We start from the raw sequence: 24,977 nt of genomic DNA, 5'->3' as shown, positions 1-24,977 counted from the left end.
ATATCGTAAAGCAACTGGCGTTGCATGAACAGTATTTGCACATTTTTAAAGTGACAATTTTTAAATACAAGATTTAGGTTAGTTATATAGTAATTTTCATTATTTTCTTGGCATGCATCCATGCCGTCATGATGCTGATATGAAGTAGGTCAGTGCAGGCTTTAATAGTTTCATCAACAGTAGTTGGCAGTTGAGTATCTTGCTTTCAGTTTTAATTTTAAAATGAAGTTTAAATATTTTAAAGGAGAATTTTTTTGGCTTTGACAATAGTCATGTTGTGGCAACTTGAATAGGTCTGATAGATATGATTGGGGTGTGTGTGTGTGTGTGTGACAGAAAGCAGGCTTTATTCTTCAATGGATACCCTCACCCCCTTTTTAAAGCTATAATTTAAAAGAAGAGATGGTGAATATCTTGCTTGCCATCAAGGTTTTCACAAAACCAGTGTGTATGTGTGTGTGTTTTTAACCTCTAGTAACGTGACGTAACTTTGTGTTTCTGAAATCATCATTAAATTGAATTAAGCACCTTGGTTTTACATTCAGATGTGGGAAATCCAAGTTAATGGACTAAAATCTTTTAAGAGAGACAAATTTTAAAAGTTGAATGAGTAATGTATATTTTAATTGATTATGAGAACAAGAGGGGAAAGGAATCTTCACTTTATAGTTTTAAAATAAGTGAGTTGTGGAGGCAACTGACTGAAATGTTTGAATAATGATGATAGTCGAGTGCACTTTTTGGCAAATAATGTGTAAATTTAATTTTTTTTTATATTGGCACATCCATTACAGCCTAACTGCTCTGACTTTAACATGAGAAAAACTTCTGAAGTAGAGTGCACTCCAGTTTTTGGTACTTGCTCTGAAAAAATAATGGGCAGCAAACACGTGAATCCCAAAATATGAAAATTTATATTTTTGTTTTAAAATTGTAATGATACACTTATTGGCATCTAATGATCAACTTTAGAAATCCTATTTGCAAAAATGATTTTTATATACTTAAAATTTCGGAATAAACAACATTTGTAGATAATAAACAAAATTAGTAAATATACTTAATAGTGTCATACCCCCTGCTCCACAAGAATGGATTTATATTATTCATCAAGTGACTATGTAAAATAAAGATATCAAAAGTGAAAACTCCTTTACTACCATATATTCCTAAGAAATAGTATATATGTATTAAATCATTTTTAATAGATGATTGCAGTTAGATATTTCACATTTTTGAGACAATAATATTATTTTACAAATTATTTTATCACCTGATAATATTCTGAGAGACTATCAGTTTTGTACTACTTCCTGAATCATCCTTTGGTGCCATTATTAATGAGAGTTTAAAATTACACTCAAAAGAAATGTGACATTTAAAAATTATCAAATGGGTTTTGCATTTGGTTTATCATAGTTTCTAAATTACTGGGCTTGCATATCACAAACAAGTCTGTACTTGTCCTCCTACTCTACAAATATAAATATAGTATGTGATGTAGGCCTTTGGACAATAAGTTATCAGTTCATAATTTACTCTGTTTATTAAACTGAAATATGGTTTGATAAAAGTATGTGCATTGAAATATCAGGCATTAAATGAGTCTGGAAAAAAAGCATTCAAAGTTGAGTGGAAAAGAGTTGGAAATATATTTTAAAGGTAATTATAGAAAATAAGGTTAGTACAAAATTGACAATGTTGTTATGTTTCTATAATATGGTTATGAATACCTTCAAGTTAACTCTAGGTTAACAAGCTTGCATGTTTCTTACCCTTACTCATTCTTACTCCATAGACAAAAGGTCCAAATCACTGACACTATTCACTAGAAAGGAGATTTCTTAGTAGGCATGTGCTTTAGTATTGAATATGCTGTAAGGTTATTTGTATTTTCTAAAAAGTAGAATTCCAAAATTAGCTTTTTGTTGTTAAAAAAAAAAAAAGAAAACTAGTAACCCATGTATTTTTACCTAAAACAAGGCCACAACCCAACCTAACTGCAAACTTCTTTTAGCTTAAATTGTACCCCTCTTTGGTTACTTCAAAAAAAAAAAAAAAAAAAAAAGAAATACCAAAGCAAGTTTTCCCTTCCTCTTATCTCTCAGTGTCTTCGTAGTTTAGTGAAAATTTTTTAGTGTAAGCAACAGTAAACACATTTACTAAGTCCTTTTATTTACCTTTTTAAGGCAGTTTTACTTGAAACCCTGATAGAATAAAATTGCTGTGGAAAAAATAGGATTGAGATGGTTTCTGCCTGTTTGTGAATTGAGATCATACCTACATGAGTGGGAGTGAATAACATATTTGCAGTGAGGCTGTAACATAGATACAGGTTGATCATCCCTAATCCAAAATCCCCCAGAATTCAAGATGCTCCAGAATCTGAAACACTCCAAAATCCCAAACGTTTTTAGTGCCACAAGTGAAAAATTCCACACCTGACTTCATTGTATCACACACAAAATTATTTAAAATATTGTATAGGCCAGGCGCGGTGGCTCACACCTGTAATCCCAGCACTCTGGGAGGCTGAGGCGGGCGGATCACCTGAGGTCAGGAGTTCAAGACCAGCCTGGCCATGGTGAAACCCCGTCTCTACTAAAAATACAAAAAATTAGCCGAGGGTGGTGGTGCCCACCTGTAATCCTGGCTACTCGGGAGGCTGAGGCAGGAGAATCGCTTGAACCCAGGAGGCGGAGGTTGCTGTGAGCCGAGATTGCACCATTGCACTCCAGTCTGGGCAACAAGAGCAAAACTCCGTTAAAAAAAAAATTGTATAAAAATTACCTTCAGGTTATGTGTATAAGGTGTATATGAAACATAAATGAATTTCTTGTTTAGACTTGGGTTACATCCCTAAGATGCTCATTACACATATGCAAGTATTCCAAAATCCAAAATAATAAATTGGAGGCACACTAGGCGCAGTGGCTCACGCCTGTAATCCTAACACTTTGGGAGGTCAAGGTGGGCAGATTGCCTGAGTTCAGGAGTTTGCGACCAGCCTGGGCAACACGGTGAAACCCCGTCTCTACTGAAATCCAAAAAATTATCCAGGTGTGGCATCGTGCGCCTGTAGTCCCAGCCACTTGGGAGGCTGAGGCAGGAGAATCCCTTGAACCCAGGAGGTGGAGGTTGCAGTGAGCCGAGATCATGCCACTGCACTCCAGCTGGGCGACAGAGCAGGACTCTGGTTCAAAATAAAAAACTAAAAATAATAAATAAATAAATAAGTCGGAAGCACATATGATCCCACGCATTTCAGATAAGAGATAGTCAACTTGTATTAAACTTGTACCTGAAAATTCAAAAGAAATCCTGATGTTTTATTTTAGAAAATATTCCAATACTGCATTTACTCAAATTTAGGGATTCTTAAAAGAATTTGTTATCAATTACTGTTTTTATTTCTGTAACTTTATTTGCAGGCAAGACCTCATAAGCCTCTTCTTAAAACGGTCATATAAGATCTATCGTTTTGCCCACTTTATGGAAAGAGATAAACAATGACAGAAGACCTATAAGATTCTACTGATTCCTTATTAGACCCTGGAAAAAATGCTGGGGTCAGAGTTCCTTATCTTTATTCAATCCTGTAAGGCATACATACTTCTGTATCTGCTATATTTTAGGCTGAAGATTATAATAAAAGTAGAATTATATATATGATCTATTTTGGATGTTTTCTGAATTCTAGTTAAAACCCAAATTGAACAATTTTGTTTTACTTTCTTATGATGATGACAATCAACATCTAGATATTAAGTGATTAATCTCTTGTTTCCATCTTAGTTACAGGGAGCTGTGTTTGGTGATCCAGAAGGTTTACATAGTGATGCCATATTAGTTCTGATTACAGTCCGCCATCCTAGAATGCAGTGGTTCAGTTTTATTCTTGGTTTTTGAATCAGGTAGTTTATTAACTCTGTTGAGAAATATTGTTCCTTCAGCTACAGTGGAAAACATGTACTATAAATTCATAACTTTAGAGTTTACTTTAACTGAAAGTCTATGATTTTCATTTTGCTTTAAAAATACAGACCGACTAGCACATCAGCTGGCTTCCATGTATTTTTGATTAGTAGGTTGACCTCCTACCTACCCTGAGTTTAGCCTGTCTTCAATACCAAGCACACAAAAGACTTAAGATGCATTTTGCATATCCGTATTGAGGCTAGCTGTGTCCCAACATGGTTTCTGGTTCCAGAAGGAAGGCAGTTCCTTGCTCTCCTATGATTTTAAACTGATAAAATTGTCTTCCCTATTGACAAAAGTTAATTGCAAGTTAAGCAATTCCAAGCCTGTTGATTTTCTTGTCTTGTTTAGGTTGGGTAGTGGATATGTACATATTTAAATGATTGACCAATTTGCTCTCTCCATTGAAAGGTGTCTTGAATGATGGTATGTGCAGGACTGATTTGGTTTATGTCTAACTGTAAATTTTTGGTATTAATTGGGGAAAATGAGCTTCATAGTGGTAGAAAAGAGAGAAGTGTCTTGTTATGAAAGATGCATTGGATTAAGAATTATGTTGCATTACTTTTTCCATTAGAAAATAATATTGCATGCTAAAATTGTGCAAATGAAAATTAAAATAAGCCTTATCATTTACTTATATTTGAGGACTTTAAGCAAGAAGAGTTTGTAAGTACTTAAATGAGTATCTGCTATATACAAAGTATGCCAGAGACTGGCATTTGAGGAATGCCCATTCACTTGTAATATTAACCTTGTAAAATTGACCTAAGCAAAAATATGCAATAAAACTTCTCTTTTATTCAGTTAGGGGACCAGGAAAAGAAGTGACAAGTGTCAAGGTAATGCACTGTGGAAAAAGTAGACCTTAGTTTCCTCATTTACAAAATGAGAGATTTTTACTAAGTGACCGTGAAGGTTCCTGAGATTCTAACACTGTTACTAAATCAATATTGACAACAATAATAAAACCAAAAGCACAATGAAAGACTAATATAATTAATTTATCATAGGCAATCAACAGAACATTTTCATTGGATGAATTATTAGGATTTGTCAGTGTTTCCTTGGGTGTTAGCTGAGGAGGACTTGCTTATTGCTACCTTGTGCAAGGGTTCTGTTATGTGAGATTAACTGTGCAAATCTTTATTGAGCATATATTACATTTAAAGTAGTTAAGAGCTGTTTATTGTGCAAAAGTAAGGCTATGCAGTAATCCTGGTTGTTGGGGAGTTTACTAACTGCTGGTTGAGAGATTGTAGTAGGGAGGCTGTTTGTGTGCTGCTTTTGTTTTGTCTTCTTTATAAAGAGATGTTTAACCTTATCCCATAATAGTAATGTAATATTTTAAGGCAGTGAATGTCATATTGTAGATTCAATTATATAAATAAGAAAAGTATGTACTCTTTCAGAATAATTTAGTGCAGAGTTGAGCTTCACAGCTATTCCTCTTCATCTAGGATAGATATTTTAATAAGTAATCGTGACAGAATGTTCTTTGTAAATTATAAGGAACATGATAGTAAGATGGTTATTCTACATCTCTGAGCAAAGTAGACCACTCTTGTCCAGTGCCTCCTATTCTACCATTCTCTTTCTGTTTAGTCTTTTAGTTGCTTTCTCTTCTGCTTTTTGGAGGGTTCTAAGTTCGAGTTAAAGATGAGAAGCATGGGCCAATAGGAGGAAGAATCTTCCTGCCTTGGGTAGGATAATAAAATAAGGAACAATAAACACTAAGGCCTTAATGCACTTACTTGCTGACTATGAGATTAAGATATTTGGCACTCAACCCACATAAATAAATACCTTAAAACATGATTTTTCTTTTTTTGCGACTGTAAATAGGCATTTACTTTTTCTATTTCACTAACTGTATGCCTCCTATTTATAAGACAAAATAGAAACATGAGGTTTGGTTAATTATGTACAACCTCTCTATCAGGCATCTATTACCGTAGCTCATATATATATAACAAAAAGTTGTGTGGGAGGTGAAATTTTCTATTTCCTCGTAACTGAGCACAAACTGAAAAATTCTGATATTCCTTACTATTTGAGTCTTGCTTTTTTCCTGAGTGCAGAAAGTGAAAGATCAGAAAGTGACAGATTCCAATCTGTTATGTCTTGGATTTTTGGGAGGCATGAGTCCATATGGTACACACTACCATGTCTTCCAAATAGCCTTATCTGAAATAAAAAAAATAAATTATCTGAACCCATTTGTTGTCTAAATTTGAATAGCAAAGGTTTAGATAGCAAAGGATACCTTTACACCCATTCCAACACGGGATTAGCAAATTGATTGGAACTTGCATGCTAAGTCTGATTGATTAGTGATATTTCTAGCAAGGGCATGGGAATAAGAAGTAATGATACACATGCCCTATAATTGCCACCCTTTTTCTTTCCAAAATCAGTAATTTTTAATTTGAGCTCTCTTATAGATGAAGCATTACAGCAATGGCTATCTTGGGGAGGGAGAGTCACTAGGGCTATTGTCTTGCCATTTATGATGCCTAGTTTTAAGGTATAAACCAAGCATGGAGAGCACTTGGTTTGTGTGTTTTTCTGTTTTTCTGTGGCTTTTCTGTTTTGAGCACCTGTATTGTCAAGTAGCTACAAGATGAGAACAGGGCACTTTGGGAGGCCGAGGTGGGCGGATCATGAGGTCAGGAGATCAAGACTATCCTGGCTAACATGGTGAAACCCCGTCTCTACTAAAAATATAAAAAATTAGCCAGTCACAGTGGCGGGGCCTGTAGCCCCAGCTACTCAGGAGGCTGAGGCAGGAGAATCGCTTGAACCTGGGAAAAGCAGGGGCTGCAGTGAGCCAAGATCACGCCACTGCACTCCGGCCTGGGCGACAGAGTGAGACTCCATCTCAAAAAAAAAAAACAACAAACGAGAACAGGGGATTACTGTATGAACTGGCTGCTTCAATTTGCACTATCCATAACCCTTTTTCTTTGCTTCCATTATCTTATTTCTCTACTTACGTATGTGCTGGTCTGGTCCCATTACCTGCTACCTTAAGAATGTTGTTTCTGCTGATATAAGTGTCTAACTTTAAGATCCAGCTTGTGAAACATGTCTCACGAACCTTTCGTCAACTCCCAGGGGAACAATGATCTGAGTTGTGTAATTTAATTTTTTTCAGTAGTTTAGACTGGCCTTTCCTAAGGTAAGTCCATTTTAGTGAGTTTTTACTGAATTTAAATGAAACACTCTCATTTTCTAATATGTAAAGTTGATAGGAATTTGGAGATTGAATATATCTGAAACAAAGTAATCACTTGCAGAATCAGTAGTCTACAATATGACAGTAAAATATGTTATTTCTATATGGCAACACCAAGAACTTACCATTGTTTTTGCAGTAAGCATGAAATTTAAAAATTTAATTGGATGAGTGTCACTTCAGTGACATCTTGCTTAGAGTAAAGTTGGTGCTTCTGGGAACCTGAGAAACGTATTCCAACAAGATGCTTTAGTTAATGTAAGTGAATCACTTCCGTAATTTGATTGCAGTCATTACATCTATTAATAAGATATATCAAAGCAATCTATGATCAAAATTTAACTGTCATATTATTAAATGCATGTCCTTTTTTCTGAAGCAGGAGCCACTAGCAAGCAGCATTTTAGGCAGATTCTACATGTACAGGTTTTTAAGAAGTCAGAAGGTCAACGATAAATTCTGAATTTATAGAATCATGTAGTCAGGGAAAACTGAATTCAGTACACATTTGTTTTAATGACTGCCACATACAAGGCATAAAAAGGTTAAAAAAGTATAAGACATTCTTACCACTTTAAAACATTCACCCTCTTTTGTGGGAGACTCATCAATTGAGTTTATCAAAAGTAAGTTTTGTTAAATGCAATAATGGCGTATAAGCAGTGGTATAAACAAATACAGAATTAGGTGAGGGAGAGATTCAGTGAGGACATAATATTTTTACTGACAAAATTCAGGATAGTGGCCTTAATGAAAAATCAAGGGATGGGCTATAAATCCAAACACACTTAACAGTATACTTACTTGGTCATTGTTAATCTCACTAGCAGAAATTAGATTCAGAGTTATGATGACAGTGAGCTTTGCCAATAATGTGAATAAATAGAGGAAAATGGCTTGGGAGAAAATTTGCTTGACTAAGGAATAGGATTTCCACTAACTAATCACAATCCTCTCATGTTAAGTTTCGATGTACAAGTAGAAGAAAGAATATAAAGTAATAGTAGAGAAGAAAAGGATGTGAGCTGGGTGGGAACTGGAGCAGAGTACCAGAGTACAGGTTGCCACAACCAATGTCACCTTAAACTTGGCCTTTCACAACCACGATTTTTCTATGCCTTAGTACCTTGCCACCTCAAATTGCTTTCATTTACTCTCATTTCATTTACTTTCATTTCATTACTCATTTCAGTTACTCTAATTCTTTTGATAGTAGATATCACTTTTCCTTCTTTCCATCAGTCTGGCAGCATTGGTTTCATCTTTTATTTTTCTCTCATCCTCGTGTCCAGTATTTTAACAAGTTTCCCAGTTTGCAGTGTAGCTTAAATTTCTCCTTGTCTTCCTATTTCCACTGCTGATATGGTTTGGCTGTGTCCCCACCCAGATCTCATCTTGAATTGTAGCTCCCATAATTCCCACCTGTTGTGAGAGGGACCTGGTGGGAGATAATTGAATCATGGGGGCAGTTTTCCCCCATACTGTTCTCATGGTAGTGAATAAATCTAATGAGATCTGATGGTTTTATAAAGGGAAACTTCTTTCACTTAGCTCTCTCTTTCTCTCTTGTCTGCTGCCATGTAAGATGTGCCTTTCACTTGCCACCATGATTGTGCGGCCTCCCTGCCACGATTATGAGGCCTCCCCATCCACATGGAACTGTGAGTCCATTAAACCTCTTTTTCCTTATAAATTACCCAGTCTCGGGTATGTCTTTATCAACGGTGTGAAAACAGATTAATACAGTAAATTGGTACTGGTAGAGTGGGGCACTGCTGTAAAGATAACCCAAAAATATGGAAGTGACTTTGGAACTGGGTAACAGGCAGAGACTGGAACAGTTTGGAGAGCTCAGAAGAAGATAGGAAAATGTGAGAAAGTTTGGAACTTTGTGAGAAAGTTTGGAACTCCCTAGAGACTTGTTGAATGGCCTTGACCAAAATGCTGATAATAATATGGACAGTGAAATCCAGGCTCAGGTGGTCTCTGATGGAGATTAACCTGTTGGGAACTGGGTTCTTGCTATGCTTTAGCAAAGATACTGGCAGCATTTTACCCCTGCCCTAGAGATTTGTGGAACTTTTAACTTGGGGGAGATGATTTAGGGTATCTGGCAGAAGCAATTTCTATGCAGCAAAGCGTTCAAGAGGTGACTTGGGTGCTGTTAAAAGCATTCAGTTTTAAAAAGGAAACAGAGCATAAAAGTTCAGAAAATTTGCAGCCTGACGATGTATTAGAAAAGAAAAACCCCTTTTCTGAGGAGAAGTTCAAGCCTGCTGCAGAAATTTGCATAAGTAACGAGGAAACAAGTGTTAATCACCAAGACAATGGGGAAAATGTCTCCAGGGCATGTGAGAGGTCTTCATAGCAGCCCCTCCCATCACAGACCCAGCGGCCTAGGAGGTAAAAATGATTTCATGGGCCAGTCCCAGGGCCTCCCTGCTCTTTGCAACCTAGAGACTTGGTGCTCTGCATCCCAGCAGCTCCAGCCATGGCTAAAAGGGGAAATCTTTACGTAGATTTCAGAGGATGTATGGAAACAGCTGGATGTCCAGACAGAAGTTTGCTGCAGAGGTGGAGCCCTCATGAAACCTCTGCTAGGGCAGTGTGGAATGGAAATGTGGGGTTGAAGCCCCTACACAGAGTCCCCACTGGGGCACTGCCTAGCAGAGCTGTGAGAAAAGGACCACCATCCTCCAGACCCCAGAATGGTAGATCCACCGATAGCTTGCCCTGCACACCTGGAAAAGCTGCAGACACTCAACACCAGCCCATAAAAGCCGCCAAGAGAGGCTGTATCCTGCAAAGCCACAGGGGCGGAGCCGCTCAAGACCATGGGAACCCACCTCTTGAATCAGTGTGACCTGGATGTGAGACATGGAGTCAAAGGAGATCATTTTGGAGCTTTAAAATTTGACTGCCCCACTGGATTTGGGACTTGCATGGGGCCTTTAGCTCCTTCGTTTGAACAATTTCTCCCATTTGGAATGGTAGTATTTATCCAATGCCTGTACCCCCATTGTATCTAGGAAGTAACTAGCTTTTTGATTTTACAGGCTCATAGGTGGAAGGGATTTGCCTTGTCTTGGGTAAGATTTTGGACAGTGGACTTTTGAGTTAATGCCAAAATGAGTTAAGACTTTGAGGGACTGTTGGGAAGGCATGATTGGTTTTGAAATGTGAGGACATGAGATTTGAGGGGGGCAGGGTGGAATGAAATGGTTTGGCTCTGCCCCCACCCAAATCTTATCTTAAATTTAGCTTCCATAATTCCCATGTGTTGTGGGAGGGACTTGGTGGGAGATAATTGAATCATGGGACGATTTTCCCCCATACTGTTCTCATGGTAGTGAATAAGTCTCATGAGATCTAATGGTTTTATAAGGAGAAACCCCTTTCACTTGACTCTCATCTTCTCTTGTCTGCCACCATGTAAGACGAGACTTTTGCCATGATTGTAAAGCCTCCCCAGCCATGTGGAACTGTGAGTCCATTAAACCTCTTTTTCTTTATAAATTACCCAGTCTCAGGTATGTCTTTAACAGCAGCATGAAAACAGACTAATATGACTGCCAAGACCATAATTCAGTATTTCACCATGTCATTCCTGGATTATTACAGCAGCAACATAGCTGTTCTGTGTCCTTGTCCTTTTTCCCCACTGCACTATGCTGTATATTGCAGTCAAAATAAGCCTTCTTGCTATTCACCAGCATTCAACATCCACTTCAGTCCCTCAGGCATCTCACTGTTTGCCTTATATTCTGTGATCCTACTTTAATTCCTGCTTTACATCTTTTCTGTTTTACATCATTTCCTTGTCTCCAAACCCTATTTAATTACATCTAGTAGCTGGGACTACAGGCACCCACCACCACACCCAGCTAATTTTGTTTTTGTATTTTTAGTAGAGTTGGGGTTACACTGTGTTAGCCAGGATGGTCTTGATCTCCTGACCTCGTGGTCTGCCCACCTTGGCCTCCCAAAATGCTGGGATTACAGGCGTGAGCCACTGCGCCCAGCCATTTAATTACATCTTAATCATTGTTGAAGCCATAGCTCAAGTACTCTGAAACATTCGTTAGCTACTGTAGTACACATTGACCTTTTCTTGACTTCATAGTGTGTAGTGAGTTCTGTACAATTTATCACTTAATCACTCATTTTTTTTCCAGTGCTGTTCTAATAAACAAGCTATTTGAAGGTGGGGACAACAATTTTGCATCTTTTTATTTTTCACCTAGTGGTAGGTACTAGTGAATATCTTTTTTTGTTTACTGCATTCTTAGAGGCACTTTTATTTTTTTCTACATATTGTTTCTGTATTTGATAACATAATGTGGTAATTTTCTCCCAAAACAAGATATTAAACTGATGTTACACTTTACAGAATAAAGGACTTAACAGCAATTGATACTTTTAAAAATTGCATTTGTGAAACTGAAGTAATCATTTGTTGAGAGTTTCAGTTTTCCCAATCCCATATCTTTCACTATGTACCTAGATTTAATAATGTGTGTTCCAAATGAAAGCCATTGTGTCCTTCATCTAAAAACCACTGAGCAGATGACTACCACATGGTTCAGCAACCTTTCGTGACTGAGTATACAACAGTAGTTAGGGTTTTATGGACTGGTTAGTTATTTTGTATTCCAGCCTAGTTCCCAAGAGATAAACTTGGAATTTTAAAGACCCCTTAACATTGAATTGGAGATGGCTTTTTTAAGTTTGGTCCTAGCAGAGGGTTTGAGCTATTTTTTTTTAGGAGACAAGACCCAAGGCTAAGATAACTTGTTTGAGTTATGGCCAAAGCCTGAAGGTGGCAAAGGAAGCCTGTCGGTGAGGGCAGATAAGGAAGGAGGTAGATTTATTTGGGAAGTATGGAAGAAATAGGACTAAAATAGGAAAACAACTGTGAGGGCCTGAAGTGTTTCAAATTCATACAAGTGGCTACCCTGGCTACTGATGTAGAGCTTTCTTTCCTTCCTTCCTTTTTGGGTGGGGGGCAGGGGTCCAAAGATCTTGCTTTTAAAGACCCTTTCAGCTTTAAAATTGTATTTTATATTGTGCTACTTGGTTACAGCAGTGGTTCTCAAATTATGACCCTATTAGCACCACCTGGGAACTTGTTAGAAATTTAAATTTGGGGGCTCCCCCAACCCAGAATTGCTATAACAGAAACTCTTGGGCTATGGTTAGCAGTGTTTGTTTTAACGAGTCTTCCGGGAGATTCTCATTCTCTAACTGAAACCGAAGTTTGAGAAACTACTGGATTAGAGGAGTCATCTTCTTAAAAACAAAACAAGCACTTTGGGAGGCCAAGACAGGCGGATCACGAGGTCAGGAGATCAAGATCATCCTGGCTAACACGGTGAAACCCCGTCTCTACTAAAAATACAAAAAATTAACCAGGCGTGGTGGCGAGCACCTGTAGTCCCAGCAACTCGGGAGGCTGAGGTAGGAGAATGGCGTGAACCTGGGAGGCGGAGCTCGCAGTGAGCCGAGATCCTGCCACTGCACTCCAACCTGGGCAACAGAGCGAGACTCCAACTCAAAAAAACAAAACAACAACAACAACAACAATTAGGCCAAAGTCTCATGTTGCAAAGTTATAGTATGGTAGTCCCCCATTATCTGCAGTTTCACTTTCTGAAGTTTCAGTTACTTGCAGTCAACCACAGACCAAAAATATTAAATGGAAAATACCAGAAAAAAAATTTGTGAGTTTTAAATTGCTCCCTAATCTGAGTAGTGTGATGAAATCTTGTGCCATCCTGCTCCATCCTGTCCTTTAGTCACTTGATAGTCATCACAGTTAGGTGTATGGTAGTGCTATGTTCAAGTAACCCTTATTTTACTATGTATTATAATTACTTATTTTACTATTTATTCTATTTTGTTCTTACAATTAATCATTAGTTATTGTTTATCTCTTACTATGCCTAATTTATAAATTAAGCTTTATTATAGGTATGTACAGGAAAAAACATAGTATATATAGGGTTCTGTACCATCTGTGGTTTCAGGCATCCACTGGGGGTACTGGAAGATATCCCTCGAGAATGAGGGGGGACTACTTTATTTTCAATCATTCTTAAGTCCTCCAAGGTGGAATTCATAATTCCATAATTTTAATGTTTTTGAATATAATCCTACAGCCTCATTTTAAAAGTTTAAAGTATTGTAAGTATACACTTTTCCTCTAAACTAAAATCTTTAGTGTCAGTAATTGTGTATTAAATGAACTGATGAAAAAAATTAAACACATAGTGTTTAGTCATCATTATCTTCTTTTTTCTTTAGAGCACTTAGTGTCTTAATCATAGTTTTTTTAAGTTCCCAGTCTGATAATTCCAAAATCTGTCATATCTGAGTCTGGTTCTGATGCTTGGTTTGCTGCTTCAGTTGAATGAAAAAGATGGAACATAGTTCCATAGTTCATTTACATAGTTCAATTACATAATTCCATAGTTCAATTCCATAGTTTAATTACAAAAGGTGTAACATAAGCATAATGGGAATATCAGAAGTGGAAGAAAGAAAGGAACAGAAGAAATATTTGAAGTAATAATAACTTGAGGATTTCCCAGAATTAATGACAAACACCAAATCCAGGAAGCTCAGAGGACACCAAGCATGGTAAATACCAAAAAAAAATATGCCTAGGCATATTTTACTCAACCTGTAGAAAATTAGAGAAAATCTTGAAAAGCCAGAGAGAAAAAAACCACTGTACCTACAGAGGAATAAAGATAAGAATTATATCATATTTGAACTGAGAAAGCATGCAAGCAAGAAGAAAGTGCAGTGAAATATCGGTGTTGAAGAAAAAGAAAGTAAAACCGCCAACCTAGAATTTTGTATCCAGCAAAATTATTCTTCAAAAGTGAAAGAGAAATAATGACTTTCTCAGAGAAACAAAACTTGGAATTTGTCAACTGGTAGAACTGCCTTGCACAAAATGTGAAGAGGTCTTCAGAGAGAAGGAAAATGATAAAGGTCAGCAATTCAGTTCTATATAAAGGAAGAGTGAGAAGAAATAAATGAAAATAAAATAACACCTTTTATTTTTCTTATATTTACTTGATCTAATAGATAACAGTTCAAAATAATAACACTGTATTCATTGAGTACAGCTCATGGATAAGCGAAATGAATAACAACAGTGTCATTCACTGCTGGGATGAAGGAATTGAGAATACTCTAAGGTACTTGCGCTAATCGTGAAGCAGTATAGTGTTATTTGAAAGTGGACTTGGATTAGTCATAAATGTATATTGCAAACTCTAGAGCAACCAATAAAAAAAATTTGTTAATAAAGGAAGTGTAATTGGTTGCTAAGAGACTTGAGAATATGGAATCATATAAAATGCTCAAATTCAGAATGGAAGACAAAAGAGAAATGGAAACAACATGGTCAATGAATAGTAAAAAGTTAAAGATATGGTCCATATCAATTCAGTTATATCAGTAATCATTTCAAGTGTGGATGTTTTAAATAACACCAATTAAAAGACTGTCAGAGTGGATAAAAAAACAAGACTCAACTATATGTTGTCTGCAAGTTTATCCTTTACAGTAACCAATTTCATTTTATCATTTAGTAACCAATTACTTGTAATATATTTCATGAATGTGTTGTAACACTGAAGTTGAGAACCTTTGCAAAATACTATAAGCCAGTGGCAAAGTGCTTAAATTACAGAGGTGAAGAGGAAATGGCCATATTTGGTGCCAGTGTTATGTATAAACCACTTAATTTTTCTACTTAGAATTAATTTTACAAGTAATTATTGAGCACTTCTTATGTGGATTCTGATTTTTTTAAAACAGGTTGATTGAGATAATTTACATACCAAAGAGTTTTTCCTGTATTAAATAGATTTGAGGAACCTCCAAACAGAAAGCAAGCTCCCTTTTGTTCTTTGATGGTTGGCCACTCCCACTCCCATCCGAGTTTTGGGTGCTACCTTTCTTTGGGGCTGCAGTTTACTTTTGATGCCCTTCCTCAGTAAAGGGTTTCAGCTATTTATAGCTTTCATTATATTCATGGTAATAAGGAAATCATTGGGTACAAACTTGAAAAGTAGTGGGTAATTTACATCAGGGTCCCACTTTTATTAAATAGCAGGTCTTATCACAATGCTTAAGTATTTACAATTTTCTCTCTGTATTACTTTCTTATTCCATCTTTGCTTCTAGCCCATTTAAGCCTGGGTTTTCTTTCTCAGCTCCTTTTATCACTTTGTTCTTTTTCCTCCAGCTCTGCCTCTGAAATTAAGTGCCCAGTCTTTGGCTTCCTGAAAATGATGATCAGAGTTTGTTACTTAACAGTTTCCCTGAACTAATTTCCCCTAGGGTGTACTGTATCTGTTTGTCACTCTTTCCAAAGGTATTTCTTGCTTTTAATCCTTCTTTACATGACTTCCCTCTGGGTAACTAGTAGGTATTCCTGTTGAATACCTACATTTGTATTTCCTTTTACTCTTTTAATTAATCATGAATTCCCCACCTTTCCTGATAGTCACTATGATAGGTAGACTCTGTAGGTGGCCCCAAAATATTTGCATTGGTGTATTATTACATCTCCTTTAAAGCTTGTGTTTAATAAATATGGATTACATTTTTATCTAGTCTAAAGACACAAGATAATAGCCAATAAATTGTGAAAGGAAGTATTTCCTCAACACTTCTGTAGTACAGAGTGTTTGTAGTGGAAAATTCAGAACCTCCTATTTTGTCTCCCTGTCTTTTGTTGCTCCTTGAATTTTTCTCCATCCCCTTTTTGTTTTCTTGTTTTTCCTCTCTTGTTCTTACCCTTTTCCCGTCCTCTTTTTATATTTTTTCTCTGTCTTCCACTTCCTCTCCCATCATAAAAGAAAATAGTTATTCATATAATTTATAAAAGTATTGTGTCTGCTTTTAACATTTAGAATCTGAGAAGTTAACAGCTTTTTATTAGGTTGTTTCAAAGTTTAATTAGGTTGTCTAAGAAAATATGTGATTAGCCTTTGATATAAAAATATTATTACAAAATCATTTAATAATGTCCTATAGGGAAGATGTGAGTCAGCAAGCAGGTTTATAGAAGGAAACGGTTATGCTAGATAGTTTACTTGCTTGTAGTCTCCAGATATAAAGATACCAAATTTCAACCTGTTGCAGGCACCTGTTGAAGGCAGAGAGGAATTAAGCTAGAAAGACATTTTGGAGTTCCTAACTTCTAAAGTGAGATGTGATTGGGATTCCTGACTTCTAAAGTGAGATGTGAAATGTTGTGAATTACCTACATTTTCAGCCTATTTGGAGAGAAGTACGATTTATGTCTTGCTTTAAATAATAGAATAAAATCTCTATAATTGTTTAAAATCAGTTTTTAAGTAAGTTGGAGTGCATATTCCAGCACTGGCAGTGCAGTATAAACAATGGAGAGGTAGCTCAGACAGGGCTTTCCATAATGAAGACAATGACCCATGAGGGACTGTAACTGAAACCCAGCAAGAGAAATCCGGTTTTATAAGAAATTGTTTTGGGATGTCAGTTGTACAGTGTTTGTTACTTGTTTATATAGCTGAGGTTACATGTGTTAATCTTTGCTATGACTTAAAAGAGATAAATGGGCTCTGGAGTTATTGTGGCAGATTAAAAAACAAAACAATTATATTTTAGACCTGCATATTTTGGCTGTTTTGGACTACAGTTGTTCATCCCTTGAGTTCCAAATGTAAAAATGTTACATTCAGTAATATCTAATTGTGAAATCTTGTTTGTTACTGCTGTTCTTGTTCTTTTTTTATTCAGAATCTTAAGTAGTATTTTTGTTATAATACTAATACAAATCAGTGATAAAGGAGGCATCAACAAATCAGCAGGAGGATTATTTAAGAAATGGTATTAGTGCAGTTGGTTAGCTGTTTAAACAGGCAGAGAGAGAGAATAAATTAGCCTCAACCCCTAACAGTTATCAACAGAATTCCAGATGAATACATAGTTAAATGCAAACAACAGTGGGATGATTTTCAAAAAGTAGGACAAAATAGAAATGAACTTCTGATAGAATGAAAAGTTTTCTCTATTAAGTAGAAGACATCTCAGAACAAACAAGTGAAAATAGAAGTTACTACTTATAATGAAAACCCCCAAAAAAACTTAGGTGTTTTTTTCACTTATACTGAATCCCTATTAAAAGACAGGACAGAGGAAAATGGGAAAATGTGAATGGCTATGTAGTCATTAAAATGTTTAACGACTTCATGTAACTACGTTAGTAAATTCTTTTGTTAAAATATTAGTGGGGTTAAAAAATGCCGTATAGTTAATACAGTTTTACACAGAGAACTGCACACACACACACACACACACACACACAAAATCCTAATCTTGGCAAAAGAGAGTGGAAGAAAAATACACCAAAAAATGTTGCTTTTTGTTAATGTTGGGAGTGATGATACAGTTTTCAAAATATTTATTTTCTTCTTTTTAATGTGTTTTTTAGCCTTTCTGAGATGAACAGTTTACATTAAAAATACTTACTTTAAAATTGCTTGCTTACAGAATTAAAATACTTCATAATTTCTTTGCAACTTGAGTTTTCAGCTTATCTTCTCTATCCTCCTTTCTCTTACACACGGTTCCCTTACCAGGACTGGCACCGTTCATTTTACAAAATTTTACAAAAATTTTAATGTGAATGCCTTCAACTTGTTCCATTTTACTACATGGCCCACCACATCTTATTTATATTAGGTCCAGCTGCATCACACATTTATGTTATTTGCCTATCCCTGAAGGTTATCCTTCAAAAAAAAAAAAGACTGCTTATTATTTTTAAATTACGCCAGGATTTTACTGTATAGCTGTAAAAAGATTCTGTTGTTTATGTATAATGTCTTGAGAAAATGTCCACCATGCAATGCTAAATGGGAAAAAAAACTAGTTTTATCTTTTGTGATTACTGGGATTGGTGTTTGCTGACCTCCACTGATATGTGGGTTTTCTTCAAATTCATATGTTAAATGGGGGAAAAAACAAAACAAAACAGTCGAAAGTATAAAGTAAACTGAGGTAGCATTTATCATGGTCTTGAAAGATGTTACAAATATATAAGTAGAAGAAAATATACCCGAAGTAAACAGATGCTCTTTGTAGGGCTTGGTTTTTTAATTTCTTGAAAAATTGTTCATTTTTTCAGTTTTCTTGATGAGTATGTATTAAACTTTAAAAGTATATAAAAATTAATTGATACATTTTAACTTCCAGGACCAGCCTTAATGGGGTAATGGGTGTTAAACTTACCCTCCCTCCATGATCAACTGTAAAAGTGGATAAAAGACATGAAGCAACTGGGTTTTATTTGGCATTAGATAGCCAACCATAGGGCTATGATCCTTAGGAGAAGGGAAATCCAATAGGTAAGCTCACCCTGGCTATCCAAACTGTAGCTGAGGGAAATAATGCCCAAATAGAGACTAGAGGTTTAGTAGGATAAAGGAAACAGTGATTGGAGTGCATGGCTGCTGAAGCAGTTGGATTTGTAAGGCTTCTGCTGGAAGGAAGAGAGCTGCTTAGAGAAGCTTCAGAAACCTTTATGGGGATCATTCTGAATCTTTAACTGAATGCCGAACTCCACGTGTGCAGGGCCAGTCTCTTCTAAGAACAACTGTTGGGGCCTGTAGTCAAAAGGAGGTTCTGGAGATTACACAGTGCTGAAAGACATAATTTCAAACAGCTAAATTGGAGAGGTCTCGCTCAGCACCTTGGGCATTAATTAAGACTTCAGGATGTCTATAGCATAAAGACTAGGGCTACTTTACCCATAGAGTAAGAATTATTTTAGATCAATTCTACAAAGCATAAAGCTAACCTTTAAAAATACTAGGTTAAACTGCCAGTAAATAACTTCATGCAAAAACAAAACATACTTTAAAAGAATTCCAAATGTTCCACAACATAGTACCCACAATGACCAGCTGTATAAAAAATTACTAAACAAATGAAGAAGCAGGGAACTATAGGGAAAAAAATAGAAATAGACCCAGAGATGACAGAGACATGGAATTAGCAGCCAACTATTTTATGTTGTCTCTGGTAAATAGGCTCAAAGATTTAAAGGAAAAGATGAACAGTATCCATGCACAGATAGAGAATATCAGCCAAAGTAGAGCTCTAAATAAGAATCAAATGGAAAACCTAGAACAAAAAATGTAATATCTGAAATGAAAAATTCACTGAATATGCTAAATGACAGATTGGAAACTACGAAGAAAACTTCACTGAAGTTAACTACAGAGAGAAAAAAGGAGAGGAAAAAGAAATGAACAAGTCTCTGTGACTCGTGGGCCAATATATGTGTAATTGGAGTCCCAGAAGAATAGATACTGGAGCAGAAAAATAATTTGAAGATATGATTATTGAAAGATTTATGAATTTGAAGAAAACCCACATATCATTGGAGGTCAGCAAACACCAATCCCAGTAATCACAAAAGAAATCATAGTAGCACAACGAGTACAATTACTTAAAACTAAAAATAAAGAGAGCATCTTAAAGACAGCTAGAGGGGCAGGAATGGGGAAGATACGTGATATACATAGGGAAACAACAGCAACGAAGACCAACTTCTCATCAGAAATAATGGAGGCTAGAAGACAATGGAACCTTTTAAGTGCTGAAAGAAAAAGTTGTCAATCTGGAAATTTAAATCAAACAAAAATATATTTCTGAAATGTAAACAAAATAGACATTTTGAGATGAGCAAAAGCTAAAAGAATTCATCACCATCAGACTTTCACTGTAAATAATGCTAAAATAAGTCCTTCAGTCTCAAGGAAACTGATGCCAGTCAGAAACTCAGATCAAATGAAGGGGTGAAGAGAACCAGAATTGATCTCTCTGTAGGAGAATATAAATGACTTTTTTAAAGTACATATTTTCTGTGAAAGACAGTTTTTTGTTTAATGCAAAAATGTTAACAATGTTTATATCATGTAGAAGTAAAAGATCGTGAAACAGCACAGAGAACAGTAGTAAGACAGATTGAATTGCACTGTTGTAAGATGATGAACTTACAATATTAAGTGAAGGTAGACTGTGATAGATTAAGGATATATATTGTAATCCCTAGAGCAATTGTCAAAGTGGTACAGGTAAAAAGCCAATAGAGGTGATAAAATGGAATACTAAAAAATATCAGATGAATAATAAAGAAGACAGGAAATGAGGAACAGTGGAACAGAATGAATAAAAAACAAGACCATTAACTTAATCATTAATAATTACTTTAAATGGGTTAAACATTATGGTTATAAGGCAGAGATTTTCAGACTAGATAAAAGAGCAAGCTCCAACTATATACTGTCTACAAGAGATATACTTTAAAGTGTATATTATATTTAAATATAAAGATTTGGAATAAATATAACCTAAGAATACAGCTTACTAGGGAAGTGAAAGATCTGTACAACAAGAATTACAAAACACTGCTGAACGAAATCATAGGTGACACAAATGGAAAAACACATTCCATGCTCATGTATAGGAAGAATTAATGTTTTTTAAAAGGCCATACTGCCCAAGGCATTTTACAGATTCAGTGCTATTTGTATCAAACTACCAGTGACATTCTTCACAGAATTAGAAAAAACTTAAAATTTATGTGGACCTAAAAAAGAGCCTGAATGGCCAAGGCAATCCTAAGCAAAATGAACAAAGCGGGAGGCATCACATTAACCTGACTTCAAACTATTATGTAATACAAGGCTACAGTAACCAAAACAGCATGGTACTAGCACAGAAACAAATAGACCAATGGAACCAGAATAGAGAGTCAAGACATAAAGCCATACACCTGAAACCATCTGATCTTTGACAAAGTCTACAAAAACAAGCAATGGGAAAAGGACTCCCTATTCAATAAATGTTGCTAGGATAACTGGCTAGCCATATGCAGAGAATTGAAACTGGACCCATTTCCTTATATCATATACAAAAATCAACTCAAGATGGAATAAAAACTTCCATGTAAAACCTAAAACTATAAAAACCCTGGAAGATGACCTGGGAAATAACATTCTGGTCATAGGAACCGGGAAAGGAAAGATTTGACAGAGGCCAAAAGCAGTTGCAACAAAAACTGACAAATGGGACTTAATTAAACTAAAGAACTTCTGCACAGCAGAAGAAACTGTCAACAGAGTAAACAGACAAACTATAGAATGGGAGAAAATATTTGCAAACTATGCATCTGACAAAGGTCTAATATCCAGAGTCTGTAAGGAACTTAAATTAAGCAGAAAAAAAAAACATTTGGCTAGGTGCGGTGGCTCCCGCTGTAATCCCAACACTTTGAGAGGCCGAGGCGGGTGGATCACCTGACGTCAGGAGTTCGAGACCAGCCTGGCCAACATGATGAAATCCCATCTCTACTAAAAATACAAAAAATTAGCTGGGCATGGTGGCAGGCACCTGTAATCCCAGCTACTTGGGAGGCTGAGGCAGAAGAATCGCTTGAACCCAGGAGGCAGAGGTTGCAGTGAGCCGAGATCACGCCACTGCATTTCAGCCTGGGCAACAAGAGCAAAACTCTGTCTCAAAAAAATAAATAAAATGAAATAAAATAAAAACCATTAAAAAGTGGGATATGAACAGATGCTTGTTAAAAGAAGACATTCACATGGCCAACAAGCATATGAAAAGATGCTGAACATCACTAATCATTAGAGAAATGCAAATCAAAACCATCTAGTCAGAATGGCTGTTATTAAAAAGTCAAAAAAAAAGGTTATGCTTCCTGGTCAGGGAACAACAGAAAGATGCTGGTAAGGCTGTCAAGAAAAGGAAATGCTTATATACTGCTAGTGGAAGTATAAATTAGTTCAGCCACTGTGGAAAGCATTTTGGAGATTTCTCAAAGAACTGTAAACGGAACTACCATATGACCCAGCAATCCCATTATTGGGTATATACCCAAAGAAATAGAAATCATTCTACCCTAAAGACACATGTACACACATATTTTCACTGCAGCACTATTCACAATAACAAAGACATGGAATCAACCTAAATGACAATCCATGGTAGACTGGATGAAGAAAATGTGGTAAACATACACTATGGAATACTACACAGCCATAATAAAGAATGAGATTATGTCCTTTGCAGCGACGTGGATGTAGCTGGAAGTCATTATCCTAAGCACACTAATGCAGGAAGAGAAAATTAAATACTGCATGTTCTCACTCATAAGTGGGAGCTAAACATTGAGAACACATGGACGCAAAGAAGAGAACAACAGACACTAGGTCCTACTTGAGGGTAGAGGGTAAGGGTTAAAAAAGCTACCTATCAGGTACTATGCTTATTGCCTAGGTAACAAAATAATCTGTACACCAAATCCCTGTGACATAGCAATTTACCTATATAACAGACCTGCACGTGTACCCCTGAATCTAAAATAAAAGTTAAAAAAATATTTACAATAAATATAAAAGGATGGAAAAAACATGTACTAAGCAAACACTAACCATTAGAAAGCTGGAGTGGCTCTATTAATACCAGACAAAATAGTCTTCAGGATAAAGATTATTGCCAGTGATAAAGTGGATATATCTTGATGATAAAAGTACCAGTCATCAGAAAAACATAAAATCCTAAATATTTATTTATATCTAATATTGGAGTGTCAATGTATATGAAGTAAGAACTGATTTAACTAAAGGGAGAAGTAAAAGTTAATTTTGTAGTCTTGTCAATTAATTAAGAAATTATTACACTTTAACTTTTTATAATAAACCCCAGAAGGTATTAATGTTTGTATGTTTTCACTCTTTTTCTCCCAGTGTCATCCTGCTCACTACTTTTTTATCTAATTTGATTCCTTCACTCATTTCCATTTGTTTATTCACTGTTGTAATATACATTTATTCTCTAATTGTGCAATTCGATCTCTCTGTTATCTGATATTGGTGTGTAGTGGGAATTGTAGGTTTGTAATAAGACAGACATGGATTTCAGTCCTGGTTTCATTTCTAGATTTGTATTTGTACCTCATTTTGCAAGTAATGTACATAAAGCACAATGTATTGGCACTCAATACATGATACCATTATTATTTGAGAGAGTTTTTTTGCTTGGTTTGGATGGAGGTGATTATCGCCTTCTTTGTTGCTCGCTACACATGCTGTTAAAGTTGGCTTTCCGCTTTTCCTAATAGAATAACTACTGCCATGCCTCCTCACCTCTAGAGGCCTAGATGCCATACAGCGAGCAGTCCCTCTGTATCTGTGGGGAATTGGTTCCAGGACCCCCATAGGTAACAAAACCAGGGATGTTCAAATTCCTTATGTAAAATGACATAATATTTGCATGTAACTGCATACATTCTTCTATATACTTTAAATTGTTTCTAGGCTGGGTGTGGTGGCTCACGCCTGTAATCCCAGCACTTTGGGAGGCTGAGGCGGGCAGATCACCTGAGGTCAGGAGTTCAAGACCAGTCTGGCCAACGTGGTGTAACCCCATCTCTACTAAAAATACAAAACATTACTTGGGCATGGTGGCGGGAGGCTGAGGCAGGAGAATTGCTTGAACCCGGGAGGCAGAGGTTGCAGTGAGCCGAGAACGCGCCATTGCACTCCAGCCTGGGCAACAAGAGCAAGACTCCGTCTCAAAAAAAAAAAAAAAAAAAAAAAAAAAGAAAATCATTTCTAAATTACTTGTAATACCTAATACAATGTAAATGCTGTGCAAATCGTTTTTATACTATATTGTTAGGGAATGATGACCCAAAAAAAGTTTGGGTGTGTTCAGTACAGGCACAACCATCTCTTTTTTTTCCCCCTGAGTGTTTTCAATTTGTGGTTGGTTGAATCCATGGATGCAGAATTTACAGATAGAGCTGACTATATCCTTACATAATGCTCGCTGGGTTTTCGCCAGTCTCCCAGGTGGAGAACTAATAAAAATCAAAGGTAAAACACGACAGATTGGCTCGATTGAGTGAAAGAATATGGATTACTGTCATTTCATGAGTTATTTAGCATTTATGCCTGAATATGTTGCTACCAAATAACAGCTATGCATATCATTAAAACTGTGTACAATTAAAGCTATAATTAAATAAATTGTACATATCATGCACTTCAGCTAATGTGTAGTCAGACTTCATAACTAGTACTCAAGTTGTATGGATACTGACTCATAAGTTAAAACATTTAGTGGAAAAGATGCCCATGTATTATGAAGGATATAAAGTCTATAAAGTCTATATAAAGTCTATAAAGTGTGTGTTTTATAATAGTACATGCATTCCTTTATGACATCAAGAGAAAGCAATCACACAAATTCAGAGTATGTGACATTCTCAAGACAACTGTCCTGGGCTCTTCAGAAAGGGAGTATTGTAGAAAAAAAAAAAAAAAAGTTGTAACAGCCCCTTACAGTGTATGAACCTAGATTTGATCTGGTTCTAGGGGTGAAAGCTCTGTTAGACATTCTTGAGATAATTAGGGAAAATGCGAAAGTGGACTGCATGATATATTGTGGAATTATTGTTAATGTTTTTAGATGGCATAATGAAATTGTTATTTAGGAGATTTTGCTTATTCTTAGTAGATACATTTGTCTTCTTATTCTTAGGAGATGTCAGGTATTGTAATGTATACAACTATTAAAATAGTGCAGCAAAATGAATGTATTATAGTACATATGTGTCTATATAGAAAGAAAATAAATTTGACAATGGTCAATATAGGTGAAGCATATA

The 24,977-nt window shown here is 36.1% G+C and overlaps 1 protein-coding gene across 4 annotated transcripts in view, besides 1 other annotated feature; it reads left to right on the top strand.

Moving 5' to 3' along the window:
• Positions 1-24,977, top strand: part of RFX7 (regulatory factor X7) — a 157,803-nt gene that overhangs the window by 3,030 nt on the left and 129,796 nt on the right. The gene's annotated exons all lie outside the window — the stretch shown is intronic.
• Positions 9,696-9,896: a silencer, noted in NCBI's record as "peak2347 fragment used in MPRA reporter construct". NCBI's record gives its function as "represses an SCP1 promoter by STARR-seq MPRAs in K562 erythroleukemia cells {active_cell/tissue: K562}" and the evidence as "EXISTENCE:reporter gene assay evidence [ECO:0000049][PMID:32103011]".

The sequence above is a fragment of the Homo sapiens genome, chromosome 15 (genome assembly GCF_000001405.40).
Source record: "Homo sapiens chromosome 15, GRCh38.p14 Primary Assembly".
Taxonomy (NCBI): Eukaryota; Metazoa; Chordata; class Mammalia; order Primates; family Hominidae; genus Homo; species Homo sapiens.
The sequence above is the reverse complement of the archived record's forward strand: the minus strand, read 5'-3'. Positions and strand labels throughout refer to the sequence as shown.